At 35.6% G+C, this 23,627-nt stretch overlaps 1 protein-coding gene across 4 annotated transcripts in view, besides 2 other annotated features; it reads right to left on the bottom strand.

The window, feature by feature from the left end:
* ABCB5 (ATP binding cassette subfamily B member 5) overlaps positions 1-23,627 on the bottom strand; it is a 141,342-nt gene that overhangs the window by 101,944 nt on the left and 15,771 nt on the right. For 3 of the 4 annotated variants that reach the window (NM_178559.6, NM_001163993.3, NM_001163942.2), the window contains exons 1-4: positions 7,417-7,735; positions 6,987-7,097; positions 4,918-5,043; positions 3,442-3,645 (exon numbers count right to left, since the gene is read on the bottom strand). In NM_178559.6, coding sequence (NP_848654.3) covers positions 3,442-3,642 — 201 coding nt within the window. In that variant the 5' untranslated portion in view covers positions 3,643-3,645; positions 4,918-5,043; positions 6,987-7,097; positions 7,417-7,735. Of the gene's footprint in view, positions 1-3,441; positions 3,646-4,917; positions 5,044-6,986; positions 7,098-7,416; positions 7,736-8,926; positions 9,105-9,184; positions 9,310-11,432; positions 11,605-11,689; positions 11,882-22,951; positions 23,007-23,627 lie in introns of those variants that run through there. The other variant, NM_001163941.2, reaches the window with a different exon arrangement.
* Positions 895-1,452: an enhancer, noted in NCBI's record as "NANOG hESC enhancer chr7:20693236-20693793 (GRCh37/hg19 assembly coordinates)". NCBI's record gives its function as "activates a minimal SCP1, AML or CMV promoter by ChIP-STARR-seq in naive H9 embryonic stem cells {active_cell/tissue: H9 hESC(naive)}" and the evidence as "EXISTENCE:reporter gene assay evidence [ECO:0000049][PMID:30033119]".
* Positions 12,381-13,580: an enhancer, noted in NCBI's record as "CDK7 strongly-dependent group 2 enhancer chr7:20681108-20682307 (GRCh37/hg19 assembly coordinates)". NCBI's record gives its function as "activates an origin of replication core promoter dependent on BRD2, BRD4, P300/CBP, MED14 and CDK7 cofactors, with strong dependence on CDK7, by STARR-seq in HCT116 cells {active_cell/tissue: HCT116}" and the evidence as "EXISTENCE:reporter gene assay evidence [ECO:0000049][PMID:35650434]".

Genomic DNA, 23,627 nt, shown 5'->3' with positions numbered 1-23,627 from the left:
ATACTTTTTTTTTTTTTAATCTTTTCAGTGAACCAGCTTTTGGTTTCAGTAATTGATGTTTTTCAGTTTTTGGTTTTACTGATTTCTACTGTAATTTCTATTTACTTAGTCTTGCTTGTTTTGGGTTAATTTGCTCTTCCTTCTCTAGTTTCTGTAGGTGAAAATTAGGTTTGCAGACTGTAGATCTTTTTTCTTTTCCGAAAATAAGCATTAAATACTATAAGTTTCTCTCAGAGCAATACTTTAACTATATCTCACAAATACTAATACATTGCAATTTCATTTTGATTTAGTTCAGAATAGTTTTTCATTTTTCTTGAAATTTCTTTTTTGAGATATATATTCTTTAGAATTGTTTTTTGTGATTTTTCAAATATTTGTGTAGTTTACTTATATTATGGTCTGAGAACATATTTTCTATGTTTTCTATTATTTGAAAGAGCTACAGTTTTGTTTTGTTTGTTTTGATGGCCCAGAATATTGTTTATTTTAGAGAATGTTGCGTGTGCACTTGAGAATGTATTCTGCTGTTGTTGGCTGGAATGTCGTATAAATGCCAGTGAAATCTAGCTGCCTGTTAGTATTGTTCATCTATATTCTTACTGATATTCCACCTGCTTGTTCTATCAAGCACTGAAGGCCTCAACTAAAGTTGTGGATTTGTCTTTCTCCTTTCAGATGTATCAGTTTTTGCTTCATGTATTTTGAAGCCCTTTTCTTAAAGAATAAACTTTTAGGATTATGTTTCTTGCATACAGGCCATATTTTTCTGTTTCTTTGCATGTCTGGTTTTTGTAAATGATGTACTGAGTACTGTAATTGTTGTGTTGAAGAGACTCTAAGTTCTGTTTTCTTCTGAAAACAAAAACAAAAACAAAAAAAAAACAGTGCTGATTTTTGTCTCTAGTAGGCAACTCAAGCACTGACTGATCTTGAACTTGTGCAATCTTCATTTTAGGTTTCCTTGGGGTGAATTTGTAGAAAGCCACATAACTTGGCAGAACACAACCTCCAAAACCTCTCTTCTCTGGGCATCTTGTCATGGCTTGGTCTCAGGGTTTGTTAGGGCAGGTAGATCTTACTCTAAGGTGTGGTCCTGACTCCTAAGGTGTGGCTTTTTTGGTGTTTTAGCTACTTGCCTGGGGGGTTAAAAAGGTGTTAATGTGATCTCTCCATTCCAGCTGCGCTGCACTTTCAACGCCCCCGCAGCACTGCCTGACTTCTATCCAGTGTTCCGCTTGCAGCTTTATGGCTGCCACTCTCTGGTGAGCCTTGGGTAGGTAGTCTTATCCTCAGACAAGGATTCCTGAGGGATGCCCATACAGACTGGGCTTCTGCCCCTGCCTCATCGCCACAGGTGATTTCTTATCACCTTTCCAGCTGCCCAAGCTGCCCTGAAATTTGAGCTTTGCCTTTCAGCTCAGTGTTCCCAGACAGAATTCATGGAGTACCTTTATGAGATTCCTCTCTGTTAGGAATCAGTCTTTCATTACCTCTCATCCAATGCATGGAAATGACTGCCCTTGGCCTCATATGTTTTATCCAATTTCATGGTTGTTTATGAGTGAAAGGCTAACCAGTATCAGCTAATTATTATACATTAATTTTAAAATCTGTGTATATTATAAGGGAAGTAATGTTATACATTTTTTTACAATAGCTTTCCCCAATTTTTTACCTACCTAAATTAGCCACTTCTGGAACTTTCATTCATTATTGTGTTTCCTCATTTTTCTGGTTAGCTATGGCTGTGGAATTTAGGTTTCATCATGATAAGCTACTATCTTTAATTTATTTTGGTTATATCTTCTGAATTTATTATTAGATTTATAGCAAGGGACATCTTTGTGTAGTATTTGGCTTTTGGTAAAAGCAAGTAGTAACTTACAGGGTATGATTTAAGAGGCATCAGAAAGCTCCCTAATTCTAAGTGGGAAATGAGAGCATTGATGTTTTAAGGAAAGGAAGTCATTGAAAGGGGCAAAACATCAACAAAAGGAAATGTGTGTTCCCAAAGATTTAAGAAGCACCTTAAATCTTTAATGATTTTTTTGGCCTAAATATGTCCTAATTATGATCCTAAATAATGGGGACAAGAGACAATTACTGGCATAACAAATTTTTTAAATTAAAAACCAAGAATAAAATTATTACAGTCCGTCAAGTTTGGTTTGTGAAATATGCCCATTAAAATAAACATTTCTGTTATTGTGACCCTCTGGGATGGTGGAATTTTATATGTATTTTAATTGCAAATCTCATCCTTTCATATGTAACAAGGTGCTCCGCACAACAATTTCAGGGGATGCTGAGGATCTAATACTTCAGGAAATATTTTTAAAAAAAGGCTTTACAGCACCCCATTAATTCTAAATACCCATTAAGATCTCGTAAGTCTGGTTAACAATAATTTTAGCTTACTATATTGCTTTCCAAATATGATTTCACTCTTTTGGGGACTATATTGCTTTCCAAATATGATTTCACTTTTTTTTCCCATAAAGTCTCACTCTGTTGCTCAGGTTGGAGCGCAGTGGTGCGATCTCAGCTCACTGCAATCTCCACCTCCCAGGTTCAAGTGATTCTCCTGCCTCAGCCTCCCTAGTAGCTGAGACTATAGGTGTGCGCCACCACACCCAGCTAATTTTTTTGTCTTTTTAGTAGAGATGAATTTTCACCATGTTGGCGAAGCTGGTCTCAAACTCCTAACCTCAGGTGATCTGCCCACCTCGGCCTCCCACAGTGCTGGGATTACACGCGTGAGCCACCGCACCCGGCCTGATTTCACATTTCTTATGCAATGTTAGCTTCCTGTGCTTTAAAAAATGATCATAGTTTTTCTTGTGGTTTGTCACAGAACCAATCTGAACATTGTGTGTATGACTTTCCCACTCTCAGCCACAAGATGGCCTCGCAAATAAACATTTTAGACATAATTTCTCAGCTTGGTCTGATGATTTTGTTTCATATTTCTTTGTTATGCTTTAACATATCTTTCATTTTTTTCTTTTTCAATTGCAGAACAAAATATGATTCTTTTCAATCTGGCCTTTCAATGATGCATTTCTTCTTTTGGTTGTTACTATGCATTCTTCTCTACAGATGTTTCATACAGGAGTGTCCAATTTTTTGGCTTCCCTGGGCCACATTGAAAGAAGAATTGTCTTGGGCCACACATTAAATACACTAAAATTAACAATAGCTGATAAGATTTTAAAAATCACAAAAAAATCTCATAATGTGTTAAGAAAGTTTACAAATTTGTGTTGGACCTCATTCAAAGCCATCTTGTGCCACTGGTTGGACAAGCTTGTTCTAGGACAATCCAGAATTTAATCACACCCCTACTATTCTGCATCAGTTGTTGTTTCATTACCTTATATTGGAATGTCGCAGCGCTGCCACCATAAGCTAAGGACACAGGCTGCACAGTGTACTCACATTAGGAAACTCCATGATAAAATCATACGCATTTGCTTCCCTTGCTGCTCTCTCCATCTCTTCATCAGTCACATCATCTCGTCCATACTTGATATTGTTACTGATGGTGGTCCCGAACAAAACAGGCTCTTGACTAACCACTCCAATATGGTCTCGATAATGCCGCACATTTAAAGCTCTGATGTCATTCTCATCCACCATGATCTGCCAATCCAAAGAATGAACCATGTTGTGATGCCTTTTACTGTATTGATTTTAGGGTTTTTCATACTAGACCAAAATATAAGCTGAGAAGTAGCATATTTTAGAAATCAAAGACTGACTATATTTTGATAAAATATTTCTAACATATATATTGTCCATAGACTTTTTCTGGTAGATGGGCACCAACAAAACTGCAAAAGAATAATTGGCCTAAAACCTTGCCAGATCATCTGATTATCTTTATTCTAAGATCCACAAGTTAGATATTATAAAGATACATACTCTAGGTTCCGCAAATGTTATTATGTAGACACATACAAAAAACTTCAGTTTTGGATGTGACCCTTACATTTCTTCTAGGAAATAGCCGCCATTATTTCAACATCTCACACCTCTGCAAAAGACAAAAGTGTCTCCTATTCATTGCTCTACATGATAATAAGTGACCTCTGGCTTCTCCACGGGTGGTGCCATTGCCAATTACCCCAACATATTCCCGTGACAGAAGCCAGGGTTTGGTAATTCTAACTCATAGAGTCTCTATTTCTTACCAACCCTTGTTTTCTGTCAGGGCATGGATATTCTATGCAACTCTTTTATACACATAACACTCATCTAATAATTTATGTAGTCACATGGGTCTAGGATACTCCAAATGAAAACTATGAAGTAAAATTTAAATAAAGCCAGGCTCTAGGGGAGTAGATTTTCTTTTAAAAATAACTGTTGAAACTTTGAACAGAAGCATTAAGAATTAATCACTTTTGAATATCACTGTCTTATCCTCTATGCCACTTACAAGGCTGAGAAAGTTAAGTGCAACACTGTAAGCTCCAAGAAAAAAAAAAAAGGAAAAGAAAAGTGGAGATGTTTTCTACATCATTCTTCTGGAACAAACTTTGAAATTCTTGATAGGTACTGGGTACAGATGTTAATACGCTATTTTTCTCCACAACATTCCCTCCCTTCTAACATACTATATAATTTACTTATTTTTTTATTGTCTGCCTCTGATTATTAGAATGTAAACTTCATGAGGGCAGATTTTTATCTGTTTTATTCACCTAGGTATTCTCAGAACCTAAAACAGTGCCTGACACATAGTAGGCTCTAAATAAATATTTGCTGAGTGAATGGATACAAAGGAAAGAAAACAATATGGCTTCTCTCCCAGCTCTACTGTTGAAAATGAAAAGTTACAGAGCTGCCAGCCCTGCGGTGTTTCCAGATTCCATTAGGTGGACTGTGCATGGTTTTGCTAGCTGCACTTACAAAGCCATCATCCGGATCATATAACCTCTGCAGAAGCTGGACTACCGTACTCTTCCCACTGCCATTGAGACCGACCAAGGCGACTGTCTCTCCAGACTTAATTCTGAGATTCAGACCTTTCAGAATCTATTGGAATGTATGGAGGGAAAATCATAAAACCACAATAAGAAGATGATGGACACATTTTCAGAAAATGAGTACATAATTATAACCAAAAACAAATTCTTCTAAAAACAAATTTAGATCTTGTTATGTTTGTTTCATGTACATGTGTAGTAATAGCCTGAATAATTTCAGAAAATAGTAGTAAAAGAATCTATCATTATCTCTCTATGTAAAGAGAACTAAATTAAGAGTACTTCAGAATATTAACTAGTAAACTGTTCACATTTTCAACTAAAATATTTTATATGAATTTTGACTATCAAGTTAATGAAAGTCTTAATTTGTAACAAGTAAATGAGATCTTGCCAGATATTTTCACAAGCTATTTAATGAAGCTCCTCCTTAGGACATACTAACATAATTGCAAAGCATATTCTAAAGGAAAACAGCTGGCAAAGTTTCTTAGTGGCTCCCGATAGATGAGAGTTTATCATTAGAAACCTTGGTGGGCTCATGGTGACCCATGAGGGAACACTTTAAACATTTTCTCAATGACTGGGGTTGCTACAGCATTTAGTGTGCCAGGGACCTGCAATGTGATTGAAGCCTCACAATAATTACCCTCTCGAAATGACAACAGTGATCCTGTTGAGAAATTCTCACCTATCTTTGCTTGCATCTGTATGTAGTTAGCCCTAAACAGGGGAATCTCCCTTTGAATTCTCTTGCTTTGATCTCACCATTTGTAAAGCAATGGACCCTTTGCATAAGCCAAACATAAAACCTTCAGAGGGCCAAGCCGAGAAAAGTTCTCTGAAGGAGGTGAGAAATCGGGGACCACCAGTAGGAGTACCTCTTCTCACACCTGCACTTTTACTCTAGATTTGGTTTCTGGTCATTCCTTGAAAGAATTTATTTATTTAAAATAGGTGGACCCCCCCAAAATTTCATTCTTTAGTTTAACAAAAAGGGTTATGTTTCAAAAGTTCATTTTAAAAATAGTTGTTTAAAACCCAAAGAACACTTTCCCATGCAATATAATGGCACAATTGGTGCTGAAGTCCCTAGGAAGCCAATCCAAATACAGTTGCAAAATGTAGTTTGAAATACTGTACAGTTAAGAAAAATGGTGGAAGTCAATACTATACCAATAATGGTAATCGGTAATTAAGTAACAACTTTCAAAACTAAAGAGCTTTGAAAAGAGAATTTCGATCAAAGTTTTAATCAGAAAAAAAATAAGGAAGTAGGAGTAGGTAGGTCTTTATACAAATTCTGTAGCAGACATTAGAAATTGATCACACTAGTAATTTTATCTATTTCACTTAAAATCATGTCTTTTTCTATGAAGCCAGTGTTTTATTAGTAATCGCCTTGTGCAATCTTTAACAACAACTACTTTTTTGGTAAATACACTAATGAAGTGAAAGGGGGAAGACAATAAAAAAGACACACATTTTCACAAGAACTTGTCAAAGACTGAATGATGGAGTACGATAAACTGCGTGTGTGTGTGCGTGTGTGTAAAGGCGATAAAGTACTAGCCGCAATTGCTGCTGCAGTAAAAGCCCCAGGAAAGGAAGAAGGGAAAGGCACATGTGCATAATTCTCCTAGGTTAGAGAGGAGGGGGTTAAAATGAGTATGTTGAGTGGGGTAGCATCTAGGAACCACCAACAGGTGGCAGCGTCAACCCAAGACATTTAGGTGTGTTCCCAAACCCAGAGTAGAAGAATTTCACGGAGCTGAAAATGCTTTAGTCAGTTGAATATAGAAAGAATGCTGCAAAATATAACTAGTTGATCCAGAGTTATTTGTCCATTATTTATCTACCTCCTCAAGTCTCTAAGCAAAGTAGCCAAAATCTTGGAAAAAAGTGATCCTAAGTAATCATGTCAGAGAAGATCTTGGCCAGTAGAAGATAATATCAGAAAACTGCACAATTGCGTAATTTGTTTTAACCTACCTTGATAGATGGTCTTGATGGATAATTGAAAGAAACATTTTTAAATTCCACAGTTCCTTCTATGGATTCAGGTTTATATCCAGCTGTGGAAAAGTTATCTATACTGGGTTTCTTGGAAAAACAAAGGAAATGTTATAAATCTTCAAAGGAGTAAACTGACAGTCTCTACATTTTAAAAATAGTATAAGGATGGTTTTCTTCCATGACAGTTTCCTTTCTGCTTTAGAAGTGCATTGAGTTAGACATGAAGGTTTCAATACAACACAATCTCCTCTTAGAAAAGAATTAAAGGCAGTCTCTCTTTCCCATAAACAACTGGCCAACATTAAATTTGTCCATCCTATTGTTTTAGTGAAAATGAGGGTGTATGTTTTTTTGTCTCCTTCTTGCAGTAATGATAGTTATTCTTCAAAGCAATAAGAGGTCTTACCTTATCAATAACCTGGAAAATATGAAAGGCAGCTCCTCGGGCTATTGCGAAGGTTTCAAAGTGAGGGACTGCTGCTCCAATGCAATAACTGCTATGGATTACACTAAAGAAAACCTACAGGAACAAACAAAGTGATATTTATCTTTCTGCAGTTATATAAGAAAGACAATAGAATGTAATATATAATTATTGGTTTAGGCTCACAGAGAGATATTAGAGGAATTAGGTAAGAAAGAATGGAAGATATGACCAAATAAAAAAGAACACAGATTACACTTGATCTTAGCCAAAAGGCCGAGAAGCAATAGAAACACAGATTAATCCAAGTATCCTTGGCCTTTTCCTAATAAGGAACAACTTTTGATTATCTCATAGTCTTGTGGTTATCACATGCTGGGATGTGTGACCAGAAAAATCTGCTAACTGAAGTGTGCTGACCATGTATAAACCCCATGGTGAGTTGCACTCCCCTCCTTGTTGGGTGACCCCTTGAACTTTAAAAAGAAAAATTCAGTAGATTTTATTGGCTCAGAGACATTGTACTGTTTTCACTCAAACCGTTTTTGAATTTTTGTATTAGGGGACAGCTGTCCATTTTAAGACAGACTCATCTCTGCAAAAAGTCAAATAAGAAAAGAATCCCTCAAGCTAGGAGCTCTTACTCCTATCATATAGATGAGGATGCTTAGGCTTAGTAAGCCAGATACCCAGCCACACATAAATTGAGGAGCAAGGATGAGTGAAAAATCGTTCATGCTCACATTTCACTTTATATGAAATAAATGAATAGCTAAAAGTCTTAATTATGAATGCCTCAAATTCAAAAGATGAATTTAATGGAAAGAAGAGAAATCTGTAAGAATGGAAAGGCCAAACAAGGATCAAAGTATAAAGAGCAGATCATTTTGGTTCCTCAAGACAAATGTTTCTTAATCCTGAACTGATCTGTTTATTGTAACTTAAGAGGATAACTGAATAAATTATTATTTAACACATAACCCATAAGAATTTAAAAGTCTCCAAACTGTGATACTGGACAGAGCTATATGTAGTCTGTTTTTTAAATTACTACATGCTGAAAGGACAGAGGAAGAGGAGGTGAGTGTAAACTCTACAGACCATTTCCAGAGAGAAGACATTTAGCAAGGTGAATGCAGAACTCCGTCTGATCTCAGCCCAGATGAAAGGAAAAGTCTCACAAGAGAATGGCCTTTTTCACTGCTAGATTAACAAAACTCAGTGTATTTCCCAGTGGGGAATTCAATTATGATTCTTCCAAAAGCGGAATGCAGATGCTTGACACAGCGAGGACACTAAAACATGCTGGATGAATAAATGCTGTCAATTCATAACTATAATTTAAAGGTGTATACAGATAATTTGAGGGAAACAAATATTTGTTTAATAAAAACATCCATCTTTGAATATTTATCTTCAAAGAGGAATTTTGGCTAAACTAGGTAAGGAAAGATTATCCAGGCCTGACACCTTGTTCTCAAACAAGACTTACAGCAAGAACAGTCCCGATGGTATATCCAGGTTCTCCATTAAGAATCAAGGAGGTTCCATACCAAAAAGCAAGTCCATAGGTTCCATTCATAAAGAAGTACACAGCACCAAGAGACACTTTTGAAGCTATAGTCCTTTTTATGCCAAAATCCTTTGCATCTTTGAGATTCTGTGTATACCTTACAAAAACAGAACACAACTTAGTAGCCACTGGGGAAAATAAAACCAAGCATATCTTGTTATATTTAAAAGGAAAGACCTTTGAAGTTCTTTCTCCTGGGCCCTAAAGGCTATGACTGTTCGGATTGATGACAAGACTTCTTCTGCCACAGCCCCAGCTTTGGAATAGGCACTTAATTCCTTACTGGTCAATGAGATGACCATCTGTAATAAACCACAACCACAGTTAAAAAATGACTCTGTGTAGTAATAATGTTCTGAACATTTAAGTCAGGCAGAATTTGAATTCTAAGTAGACTAATGGTATTTTTTTAGACTTTATCTCTGTATTTTTAAAAATTTGTCTTCAAATACTAAGAGGTAAGATTTCAGAGAGAAAAGGGAAAATATCACTATTGGTGACTAGACAGGTTTACCTGATTTCACATGCCCTTTTCTCCATTATATGTCCCATTTAATAATCCTTTTACAATTTTGTAATTAACACAACAGTTCCACAAAAGGGAACAGCGGGGATACTGCCTTCAGAGCTGTGAATTCATAACTATTGCCTATTCGCATAGCAAGTCTATCCACCTAAAAAATATATTCCACATAATAGGAGCTGATTTTATATAAGACATGCTTGGATAACTGTTAAAGTGAGAGAGTAGCAGAAGCGGAATAATACTCATTATTTTCTGAATTCACTTACTAAAGATAATTATTCCTATAGTAGATCACTAGAGGGGAAACACCACCTGGCACAAAGCCTTGTACTTAGCAAGTATTTAATAGATAATTGTCAAGTTGAATTGAAGGAAGCTAGAAGCCATCCACTCTGGTATCGCATCCTTTGGATAACTCTGACCTTCACTGGATAACTCTGACCTTCACCTGCTTCCTCTCCATGATCAATGAATACAATAATAGAATTTAGACTACCCACTGCTATTCCTTTACAACTCCTCATTTACTTCTCTTCTGTGGACGTTAAGGTTCTGATCTTACTAACTTACTGCAGGCAATCTTTCTACTGAGATTTCCTTCCTCATTTCAAATAAGTTGAGGATGAAGATTTTGATAAAGGCTACAAAGTCAACACTCGGAGTCACACTAAGTAAAGACATGCTGTCCAAATCTCCAAGCCTATTGTTAAGGGATTAGCCATTATAGAATAGTTTTATTGCTGAAAATTCTTGTTTGGTTGAATTACTATATTGTTAGTAAATAAACTCTGGAAATTTTAGGAACTGGATTTCCATAAAGAATGATTAGTGTTGCCAAATTTAAAGCACTGTGCCTCCTATCTAGAAGATGAGTATATACAATGGTAGAATTTCCAAAAGATATGATTTGAAGAATAATATTACAGATACATTTGTTGTTTTTAGATTTCACAGAGTATCGGTTTCAAAACCAGGCTGTAGATAAGATTACAATTTTGTGTTATACTTACAGCAAAACAGTGCTAAAAATGTAATTTAGAATGCGAGTACATAATTTGTTTAAAAAACTGAAACATATTTGTGTAGTACATAAAAATAGATATTAGCAGAAATCTGAAATGTAATTGAAAGCCTTACTGAAGTATAAACTTGGCTGGGTGCGGTGGCTCACTGGCCTGCAATCCCAGCAGTTTGTGGGGCCGAGGTGGGCGGATAGCTTCAGCCCAAGAATTCGAGATCAGCCTGGGCAACATGGTGAAAATCTGTCTCTACAAAAAATACAAAAGTTAGCTGGGCGTGGTTGCCTGTAGTCCCAGCTACTTGGGATCTGAGATGGGAGGATGACTTGAGCCTGGGAAGTTGAGGCTGCAGTGAACCATGTTTGCACCACTGCACTCCAGCCTGTGTGACACAGTGAGACCTTGCCTCAAAAAAAAAAAAAACTTTACATATATACATAAACTTTAAGAGGATGATATAAAAAGATGTTTATTGTTTTAGGATTTTCTTATTCCATTCTACCCAGTGAAATGAATCGTACCATGTTGATCTGTGAATTTAGAGCAAACAAGTCTGTCCCAACAGCAACAACTAAACATCACATGTATAAGGACATCATACTTTATCCATGCTACCACTTGAAGTTGTGTTAGACTGCTAAATGAAGAGAAATGTTTTCAATGTTAGTAAGCTATTAAAAACATTTCATCTTAGCCAAATAACTTGAAGATAGAAAGGGGATTAATGGTGAACAAAATCAAAAGTATTTGTGGTGTATAATATCCCTTTGTAGTTTGGGACATGGCAAGTGAATAGAAAAGCCATTTTTGAACAAACTCAGTGAGTCATTTAGTCCACACTGCTGCTTCCATTCAATATTGCATTAGCCATCTCACTTACCCTAGAACATGCTGCCGCTGAAGCCATTATAAGAGGAGACGTGGATAGAGTCACTAGGGTGAGTTTCCAGCCCTTCACCAAACCAACTGCCAGGCCAATCGAAAAAGTAGACATGTTTTGAAACAACAGAGCAATCTTATCTCCAATACCATCACTGATTTTGTCAATGTCACTGAAACAAGCAAATAAATGTAGTTAGGTCATTTACATGTCACATATGAAAACAAAGCTAACGTACTACAATATCATCCTCTTACTCTGTCATGCGAGTGTTAAGTTCACCGATGTCACAGCTATCAAACCAGCCGATGTCCTGTGCCAAAACTGAATGAAAAAACTGTTTTCGAATCCTCTTGGTCTGTCGTGCTGCAGTTATAATCCACAAGGAAATCTGTATGTAACCAAAAATCAAGGCAGCAACACCTATTCCAACATAATACAGGGTCAACCTGAAGAAAGAGTATTAGAATGTGAGACTGAAGCACAACATTTTTATCTTGTTACACACATAAAAAATCGATCACAGTATTTGATTGAGGAAATTTATGCTAGAACTAGAAAAAGAACTAAAAATAACATGCCATGAGAGTGAAGTGCATTGAATATAATGATCTAGGTTTCCTGGTAAAACATAGAGTGTATCTTTTACATTATTATCAGAAATTAGTATTTTAAAACATTCTTGCTACTTATATCTTCTTTCAGTATTTTTAATACTTTCATATGAAAAAGTTCCATTGAGTCAATCAAGGTAATTGTAGGTGGAACTGGAGGGTAAAAAAATAATGATAGCAGTCAAAAGCATTTGATAAAAAGCTTAAAAACTATACATAGTCAGCCCCAAATTCAACTTAAGGAATTCACCCTAAGGTAATATATACAAAGATTCATCTATATAACTGGTCTTTGCAGCATTTGTAACAATATAGAAAAGCTGAAAACAATCCAAATATTATACAGGAGGAGATCAGATAAGAAATGTAATTATTTAATAAATGTATACTGAGTGCCCACTATGTGTGAGGGTCTAGAGACACAGCCATGAGCAAGATAATAAGTCCTCCAATTCTGGCAGGAGGCAGACAATACACAAGGAGAAAAAAAAATAGGTTTTTCTAGGAAGGAAGTAAACGGGGGATAGGCCACAGAATAACTGGTGAGTAAACATGGGTTGGGAGAGCTAGTGCAGATAAATAGAGTGGTCAAGAAAAGTTTCTGTGAGGAAGTGATATTATAGCTGGGATCCAAAACGTGAAATTAAGCCAGCCATAAAAAGAGCAGGAAGTGCATTCCAGGGAGAGGAAAAATATTTCTCCCAGGAGAGACTGAGTCAGAAAAAAGTTGTTTAGCACATTCCAGAAACAAAAGAAGTCCAAAGTGGTAAGAAATAATGAGGCTGGAGAATTTGGCATATTCTAGGGTTTTTACAGTGCACTGTTCATGTTTTATTCCAGGAGAAGCAGAAGATCTTTGGAAGATCTGAGCATGGGATGGCATTATCTGTTCAACTTTTTAAAAGACCACTCCAGCTTCTCTGTGGAGAACGGATGAAAGCAGAAATAATGGAAGCAGGAAGTTCTGTTAAGAACCTATCGCCCTGGCCAAGGTGAGAAGAATGGGGGCCTGGAGGAGGATCATGGCGGCCTACATGAAAAGAAGCAGATAGATTTTAGGTGTATTTTGGAAACAAAAACTGCCAGACTAATGGACGCCCTGAACAAGAACAACCAACTTTCTCTGCTAGACACATGACGGGGAAGACTGTCAAAGCAAAAAGCTCCATTCCTGCCTCCAATGACACCTATCTTGAAAAAGAAAAGTACTTTCCATTCAGTCCTCTAGATTATGAGAATTTGACCTGCCTGAAGAGCATCAGACTGTACACCCACCTTGAATTAAGTACCTTTCATGATTCTTGCTGAGAAGAGAGAACTTGAACAGCTGTTACAGGTAAGCCCCCGTTTGCCTATGAAGATGTTCTCTCTACTGTGGGGATCTAATCAGTCACAGTCTCCCTCAAGCATACTATAGACCCAGGATGTTCAATTGCCACCTGTTTGCTCTAGCATGGATATTTAGATTTCTTAGTGCTTTATAGTTTATTTGCTTTTTTAAAAAGACGGGATCTGGGTATGTTGCCCAGGCTGTCCTCAAACTCCTAGGCTTAAGGAATCCTCCTGCCTCAGCCTCCTGAGTAGCTGGCACTGATGGTACATAACGCTGGGACTACAGGTGCACACTAGTGTTTTATAGTTTGTGTGTGTGTGTGTGTGTGTGTGTTTTGCAATAATAAAATAATCTTTGTTTAATAGATTCTTCCTGAAAAAAATGCCAATGTATTGGATATGAGGAATGTAGGAAAGAGAGAAATCAAGAATAACTTCTTAGGTTTTGAGTTGAGCAGCTGGTGATGAGGGTATCACTTATAGATGTGAGAGACTGGGACAAAGACAAGATTTGCAGGACATAGAGTTCACATTTAGACTTGTGAAGTCAGAAATGCCTGTTAAACCTCGAAATGGAGATCAAGTAAGAAGCTGAAAATGAGAAATGGAAGCACGAGAGAGGGGGTCTAGGCTGGGGATGTGGATTTGAAAGCAGTAACTTATAGGCAGGTGGTAATTAAAACAAAGGGACTGGCTGAGAACACCCAGGAAGAGGAAGAATTAAGTATAGGAAAAGAAGAGAAGAGGGCCAAGGACTGTTAGTGACTCTGCAAAGATGTTGCTTGGGATGAAGAGAAAGAATCTGCCAAGAGGCCAGTGAGGTAGTTGGAAATCCAGGAGAGTGAAGTACCAAGCAACACGGGAGAGGAAAATACAATTGATGCTCATTATTTGAAAATCCTGTATTTGCAAATCTGCTTCCTTGCTAAAGTTTTTTTTCTAAGTCCCAAGTCAATACTTGTGGTGTTTTCATGGTTATTTATGGACATGCACAGAGTGGCCAAAAATTTGGTTTGCCTGATGCACACGTACTCTGCCTTCTTGTTTCAGCTCTTGTACTGTAAGCAAGTGTTATTTTCGTGGTTTATTTAGTGCCAAGTTTTTCTCATTTTTGTGCTTTTTGTTGATGATTTTGCTATTTGTAATGATTCCCAAGCATCACACTGAACTGATGGCTAGCGCTCCTTAGTGCAAGAAGGCTGTGACGTGCCCTATCTAGAAAACAGGTGTGTCAGATAAGTTTCATTCAGGAGTGAGATATAGTGCTGTTGACCATGAGTTCAATGTTAAAGAATCACCAACACACATTAAATAAGGTGTCTTTAAAAAAAAGCACACATAAAGTGAGGTTGTGTATTATTTGGTTGACGAAAAGTTTGTCACCAGAGGTTCACAGGATCCTAACACTGTATTTCTCCTAAGAGTAATCTTCAGAATTTGATAATTCAATTTTCACAGAAACTTTAATAGAACATTAACTATCATAAATAATTTACTGTATTTTCTAGTAAGAGGGACTATTCAAGGATAGGATGGAACACTACAGGCTTAATACAAATCATCTTGTTGAATTTTTTTTAATGCTGTAGGGAAAAGGTTTGCAACAACCAAATAAAATAAATGTAAGATGAATACACTGAAAACCACAACACATTATTAGGAGAAGTTAAAGAAGATCTAAATAAATGAAGAGACAATCCATGTTGATGGATTGGGAGACTCAGTGTTGTTAAGATGACAATCTTCCCCAAATTTATCTATAGATTCAATGCAATCCCTGTCAAAATTCTCCTGTGTGCTTTCCTGTAGAAATTGACAAGGTGATCATAAAATACATATAGAAATGTAGAGAACTCAGAATAGCCAAAGTAATTTTTAAAAAGAAGAACAAATTTGGAGAACTTACACTTCCTGAGTTTATTTATTAAAACTATAAAACTACAGTAATCGAAACAGTGCAGTACTGGCATAAAGACAGACATGTCAATAACTGCAACAGAGCCTAGAGAACAGAAACGGACTCCTACATTTATTGGCAGTTGATTTTTAGCAAAGGTGCCAAGGCAATTTAATTGAGAAAAGACTGTTTTTTCAACAAATGGTTCTGGGACAACTGGACAGCCACATGCAAAAAAAATAAATTTAAACCATTACCTCACATCATTCACAGAGATTAACTCAAAATGGATCATAGACCTAAGTTTAAGAGTTAAAACATTGCAATTTGAACAGGAAAATGTAAAGGAAAATCTTCATCATCCTGGGTTAGGCAAAAAATTCCCACACCCAAAAGTGCAATCCATAAAAATAAACTTAGTGAACTGAACTTTACCGAAGTTAAAAACTTTGTCCTTCAAAAGAAACCTCTAAGAAAGTGTACACTCTGACAGATGGGGAAGAAATATTTGCCAATTGTATATCCAACAAAGAACTTGCAATCAGAATTTATAAAGAATTCTTACCACTTAATAATAAGAAGACAAATGGCACAATTTAAAAATATGTAAAATATTTGAATAGACTTTTCACCAAAGAAAATATATGAGTAGATAAAAAGTACATTAAATGCTCATCATTAGTCACTAGGGAAATGCAAGTTAAAGTCATATTATAATACCCCTTCATACCTACTACAATGGCTGTAATAAAAAAGGCAGACAATAACAAGTGTTGATGAGGACATGGAGAAACTGGAACCCTCAGACACTGCTGGTGGACAGTAAAATGGTGTAGCCACTTTGAAAAAACAGTTTGGCAGTGTTTTAAAGAGACAAACCTAAATTTACCATATGACCCAGCAATTCCACTCCTAGGTCTACTCAAGAGTAATAAAAACGTATGTTCACACAAAGAAGTGTACATCAGTGTTCACAGAAGCATTATTTGTAAATAGCCAAAAAGTAGAAACAATCCAACTGTCCATCAGCTGGTGAAGAGATAAACAAAATGTGATACAGCCTTGCAATGGATTACTACTAAGCAATAAAAAGGAATAAACTACTCCTACCTGTTACAACATGGATGAACCTCAAAAACAGTATGCCAAACAAAAGAAGCCAGGTACAAGAACCTTACATATTATATATTTCCATGCATATACAATGTCAGTAATATGCAAATCTTTTGAGATGAAAAGCAGATAAGGAGTTGCCTCAAGCTGGGCATGGGAATAGGGATTGGTTGCAAATGAAGATCTTTGTAGGAGGATAAAAGTGTTCTAAAAATATTGTGATGATGGCTGTACAACTCCATACATTTACTAAAAATCATTAAGTTGCACAATTAAAACTGGTAAATTATATGCTAAATAAATTATACATCAACAAAGATATTAAAAATAATATAAACAGTACAATTGCACTAAAATTATATATGTACCACTATACATGTAAATATACTATAATATAAACAGAAATTAATATTTTTATCTATTAGTGTTGGGATTATGTATAAGTGATTTAATTGTCTTCTTTGTGCATTTGTATCTTTTCACATTTTCTGCAGTGAAAATATGATTTAATCAGAAAAAATAATTTAAATAATTTTATAGAAGCACTGACTCACTTTTTAAAAAACTATTCCTTATAAACAAACAAACAAAACAACACACTCGAGTTTTCCACATGGAAGGACTCTACTTATTAACTCCACATTCATCTAGTAATCAGACTCCCAAACTACCTGGGATGGAGAAGAAGAATTTCAGCAGCCCCAGAGCCCAGGCAATTAATTTTGCATCAAGAAATGAAGCCACCCTTGAGGCCTTAGCTTTCTGATTCCAAAAGTCACCCATATTAAGATTGATTTAATGGCTTCATTTATTGAGCACTTACTATATGCTAATCTAACACGGAGTTGGCTGTCTAGTTTGCCCCTTCTCTTTCAAGTAGGTTATGCTAGATACATTAGAAGTAGCAAAAGAAAAGGATTAAGTTGCTTAGAAGTTCACATAGAATTAAGTAATCAAGGCCTGGCATGGCAGCTCACGCCTATAATCCTAGCACTTTGGGAGTCCGAGGTGGGCAGCTCACCTGAGGTCGGGAGTTCAAGACCAGCCTGACCAACATGGAGAACCCCCATTTCTACTAAAAATACAAAATTAGCCAGGCATGGAGGCTCATGCTTGTATTCCCAGCTACTCACGAGGCTGTGGCAGGAGAATCTCTTGAACCCGGGAGGCAGAGGTTGCAGTGAGCCAAGATCATGCCATTGCACTCCAGCCTGGGAAACAAGAGCAAAAACTCCATCTCAAAAAAAAAAAAAAAATTAAGTAATCAACTTTTGGCAGCAAAAGAGGAGGCATCATATTGACCAGCAGTAGTCCTGGCACTATTTAGTCATTTCAGTCTGGAGTCAGCAAGAAAAGATTCAACTATTTTTAGAAAAATTTTCTGAGAAATTAGACAGGGGCATAGACTTAACATTAAAATTATAAAGCTGAGTCACTTTCTTTGGAAAATAACAGGTAGAATAGAATTCTTTAGTTCCTGATTATTACAGACGGAAGAAGTACTATTACCTTATACTCAAAAAATTATGCAAATCAATGTGTCCCCAAAATATGTTCATTAAAATATTAGTTCCACAGATGCTAATCAATTTTAGCAGAAATAAATTATGTTCCACAATCAAATATTGGTAGGTTTGGAAAACTTGGATTAAATCAAGCTAACTAAATGAAGCCTTTACTATCCGTATTTGTCATGTATGTATCCTATGTATCGGATAGAAGGCTGTCATAGATAATGTTTTCCAAACCAATTTGACTGAAGAGTCTTCTTTAATATGTATCTCAAATATTTCAAAAATATTAACATACTGAATACATTAATAGTTATAATTAATAATAATGTACTGAATATTATAGGTAATTCCTTCCTTCCTTTTTTTTTTTTTTTTTTTTTGATGGAGTCTTGCTCTGTTGCCGAGGCTTGAGTGCAGTGGTGTGATCTCAGCTCACTGCAACCTCTAACTCCCAGGTTCAGGTGATTCTCCTGCCTCAACTTTCCGAGTAGCTGGGACTACAGGTGCCCACCACCATGCCCAGCTAATTTTTGTATTCTTAATAGAGACGGAGTTTCACCATGTTAGCCAGGATGGTCTTGAATTCCTGACCTCAAGTGATCTGCCTGCCTCAGCCTCCTAAAATGTTGGGATTACAGGAGTGAGCCATTGCAGCTGGTCTCAGTAATAAATTTCTTATTATTTAAATGAGTCTTAAAAAAAGAAATAATGGTATAACAAGTACTATAAAAGGTAAGTATGTTTCCTTATAAATTTAGTAGCCCTTACATAACTGTACATAGACATATCTTTTCATCTTATTGTCCCTTTTATTGTCTACTTTTAAATGGATGCTCCTATTAAAAAAATTTTAAACTTTTTGTAAAAAAAAGTATCCTTCGTGACTGTACATCAGAGCCCTGCTTTAATACTGTAAGACCAAAAATTCAGTATGAAACACTACCCTAGATCCTAATCAAGAATTTTCAAAAGATCCAATATAAATAAATTTTATGTAAAATTAGCTAAGAAAAGAACTTTAAGCCAAAGAAAGTTGAGGCTGCAGCAAAACTCAATTCAAGGGAGCATCATTCACATTGTAGCCCAGAACAACACTATCCAATAGAACTTTCCATGATGAAAAAAATGTTCAGTATCTATGCTGTACTGTATGGCAGCCAGCCAGATATAATTATTAATGCTTGACATGTGATTGAGAATGAGAAACTGAATTTTAAATTTTAATTTTAATCAATTCATATTTATAGTCAGAGCAATCAAGCAACAGAAAGAAATAAAAGGCATCCAAATTGGAAAAGAGAAAGTCAAATTATTTATTTGCTGATGATATGGTCTTATACCTAGAAAACCATAACAATTCCACCAAAATACTCCTAGATTTGCTAACAAATTCAGTCAAGACTCAGGTTATAAAATCAATGTGCAAAAATCTGTAACATTTCTATACACCAATAATGATCAAAATGAGAATCAAATCAAGAAATCAATCCCATTTACAATAGCTACAAAAAATATCTAAGAATATATTTAACTAAGGAATTAAAAGATCTTTACAAGGAAAACTACAAAACATCAATGAGAGGAATTGCAGATGATACAAACAAATGGGAAAACATTCCATGCTCATGGATCTGAAGAATCAATATCATTAAAATGACTTTACTGGACAAAGCAATCTATACATTCAATGCAATTTCTATCAAAATGCCAATGTCATTTTTCACAGAATTAGAAAAGACAGTCCTAAAATTCATATGCAACCAAAAAAAAAAAAAGCCTTTATAACCAAAACAACTATAAGCAGAAAGAACAAAGCTGGATGTATCACACTACCTGATTTCAAATTGTACTACAAGGCTATAGTAACGAAAATATCATGGTACTGGTATAATAATAGACACATAGATCAAGGAAAAAGAATAGAGAACCCAGAAATAAAGCCACATACCTACAACTAATTGACCTTCAACAAAGCCAACAAAAACATACACTGGGAAAAGGACATCCTATTTAATAAGTGGTGCTGGGAAAATTGGAAATCTGTAAGCAAAAGAATAAAACTGGACCCTTATCTCTCACCATATACAAACATCAACTAAAGATGGATTAAAGACTTAAATTTAACACCTGAAGTGATAAGAATACTAGAAGAAAACTTAGGACAAACTCTTCCGGACATTGGCCTTGACAAAGTATTCATGACTAAGACTTCAAAAACAAATGCAACAAAACCGAAAATAGACAAATGGAAATTAATTAAAAAGCTTCTGCACAGCAAAAGAAATAATCAACAGAGTGAAAAGACAACCTGCAGAATGGGAGAAAATATTTGCCAACTATGCAACCAACAAAAAACTAATATCTAGAATCTACAAGGAACCCAAACACCTCAACAATGACAATAAAATAAACCTTAATAACTCCATTAAAAAGTGGGCAAAAGACATGAGCAGACACTTTTCAAAAGGAGCCATACAAATGTCCAAAAAGCATATGAAAAAATGCTCAACCTCAGTAATCATCAGAGAAATGCAAATAAAACCACAGTGAAACACTGTCGTACACCAATCAGAATGTCTACTATTAAAGAGCCAAATAATAACAGATGTTGGTGAGAATGCAGAGAAAGGAGAACACTTATACACTATTGGGGGTAACGTAAATTAGTACAGCCTCCATGGAAAACAGTATAGAGATTTCTCAAAGAACTAAAAATTGAAATACCATTCAATTTGGCAGTGTTAATACTGAGTATGTACCCAAAGGAAAAGAAATCATTGTGCCAGAAAGATACCTGCACTTGTATGTTTATTGTAGCCCTATTCACAATAGCAAAGATATGGACTCAACCTAAGTGTTCATCAGTGAATGAATGGATAAAGAAAATGTTTACACACACACACACACACACACACACACACACAACATGGAATACTAGTCAGCCATAAAAATAATGAGATCATGGTTTGTTTTTTTTTTGCAGCAACATGGATGGATCAAGAGGCCATTATCTTAAATGAAATAACTCAGAAACAGTCAAATACCACAAGTTCTCACTTATAAGTGGGAGCTAAATAATGTGTACATATGGACATAGAGAGTGGAATAATAGACATTGGAGACTCAGAGGCTGAAAGGGTAAAAGGGGGTGTAAGAGATGAGAAATTACTTAATGGCTACAAGTTTCACTATTTGGGTCATGGCTACACAAAAAGCCCAGACTTCACCACTATGCAATATATCCATGTAACACAACTGCCCTTGTACCCCCTAAATCTATAAACAAAATTATATAGCCACAAATGGCCATGGCTAAAATATTGGACAGGGCATATTAGGAATTAAAACTAAAGAAGAACAGAGGATACTAGAGACTGGGAAAGGTAGAGAGAAGGAAGGGATAAGGAGATATTTGTTAATGCTAAAGTTATAGGTAGATAGGAGAAATAAGTTCTAATGTCCTATAGTGCTATAGTTAACTATGACTATACTTAACAATAATATATTACATGATTTCAAATAGCTAGAAGAAAGATACTGAACATTCCCAATACGAAGAAACGACAAATGTTTGAGATAATGAATATGCTAATTAATCGGATCTGATCACTATACGTTATATGTATTACAGCATCACTAGGTACCTCATAAATATGTATAATTATTGTGTGTCAATTATAATTTTTTTAATTAAAAAAAGAATTAAGGCCCAGAAGATGTCACTGCAATGTGATGGGTGTCCCTTGACAAGATGGTGTCTTCATTTTGGGGGGAAAAGAATAGGAATCACTTAGGTTTAGAGTAAAGACCCAGAAAGCTTTAGTGAGGCAGTACAGAAATCCAGTCAATATACTGAGAAAGGTAGTGTCTACCTAGGAAACTCAGAACATGTTGAGTAAATAAATCACACTGTTTAATACCTAAAATTACAAAACAGAACATCCTTATAAATTATTTATTATTCATACTTTACAATTTTTTGTTTGGATACAACTTTACCATAATAGTCTGAATAATTAGTCTCCAAATTTAGTGTGAGTAAAACCTTACTATTTTTATGTTAAGAAGTATTTTATTATTTTTACTATTTGTTGATTTTTAATGTTTAAAGAAATAGAATTTTCTTTTTATTTATTTATTTATTTATTATTATTATACTTTAAGTTTTAGGGTACATGTGCACAATGTGCAGGTTAGTTACATATGTATACATGTGCCATGCTGGTGCGCTGCACCCACTAACTCGTCATCTAGCATTAGGTATATCTCCCAATGCTATCCCTCCCCCCTCCCCCAACCCCACAACAGTCCCCAGAGTGTGATGTTCCCCTTCCTGTGTCCATGTGTTCTCATTGTTCCATTCCCACCTATGAGTGAGAATATGCGGTGTTTGTTTTTTTGCTCTTGCGATAGTTTACTGAGAATGATGATTTCCAATTTCATCCATGTCCCTACAAAGGACATGAACTCATCATTTTTTATGGCTGCATAGTATTCCATGGTGTGTATGTGCCACATTCTCTTAATCCAGTCTATCATTGTTGGACATTTGGGTTGGTTCCAAGTCTTTGCTATTGTGAATAGTGCTGCAATAAACATACGTGTGCATGTGTTTTTATAGCAGCATGATTTATAGTCCTTTGGGTATATACCCAGTAATGGGATGGCTGGGTCAAATGGTAAGGAAATAGAATTTTCAATGAGGCTCATAAGAAATATAATTTTTTAGAAGGAAAATCAAGTCCTTTCTTTCCCAGGATATTACTAGGAGGCAAAATTGCTACAAAAATGCAAATCCTTACAATTTTAAAATTGATGACAACTCTGTCAACTACAACTCAAAGCATATGACCTATACACCTTTCAAGTAGAAGAAAAAATATGTACTAATTGTATTTTATATACCTAATGAAAGAAGAGGAAATGTTTGCTTTAATCATTTGTTATGTAATATTAATGGTCATACAAAATTTCAGTTGCTTTTTTCTTGTAAGCTTTAAATAAAGCATCATTCAACGAATGTGATATTAACGTTTCATTTGGACTTACAGAGTCATATCTTCATTCAGCTTCTCTTGAGACTGAGTACAGTTCTGATAATTTGCTGTAAAAAAGGTTATTTAAAATATAGAGGAAATTAATTTATAATTGGTCACACTGTTACACAGATAGCCCTCCAAACCAAATATAGTGCACTCTTAAGACAACAGATTTACTGCCCACACGCAGTTTATTATCATCTCATTTTCTATTCTTTAACCTAGAACTGGAAATAATTATCTCTGCTCTCAAGAAGTACTCATGCGGCTTGGAAAAATGTAAGGAAGCATTAACCATGTAGCTCATAACTGGAAAGAATTATTTGGGACATCTCTGATCAGACAACAATCAGGAAAGTAATAGTTATAAAATTCCCTGCTTCTGCCTGAGATTATACACTTTAAATTAAGTTTGAAACACTCCAGGGAATGATTTCAGAAGTCCAAAAAAAGCAAGAACATGTGTGAAAGTTCTAGAAGAATTAGCCATGGGAAAAATGGAAAGCTCAGTGAAACATGTTGAGTATAAATAACAATGTTTAAAGGTTATAAGTTTTCTCTGTAAACTTTTCTATATATCTTCTAGTAGAAAAAAATATTGTACACTGATTAATATACCAAAGTCCTGATTTCACCAATAACACAAAACCATGGTTGATATCCATGATTATAATTTTATTCCTTAA

This window comes from Homo sapiens, chromosome 7 (assembly GCF_000001405.40).
Source record: "Homo sapiens chromosome 7, GRCh38.p14 Primary Assembly".
NCBI lineage: Eukaryota > Metazoa > Chordata > Mammalia > Primates > Hominidae > Homo > Homo sapiens.
Note: the sequence above shows the minus strand (reverse complement) of the source record. Positions and strands in the feature narration are given on the sequence as shown.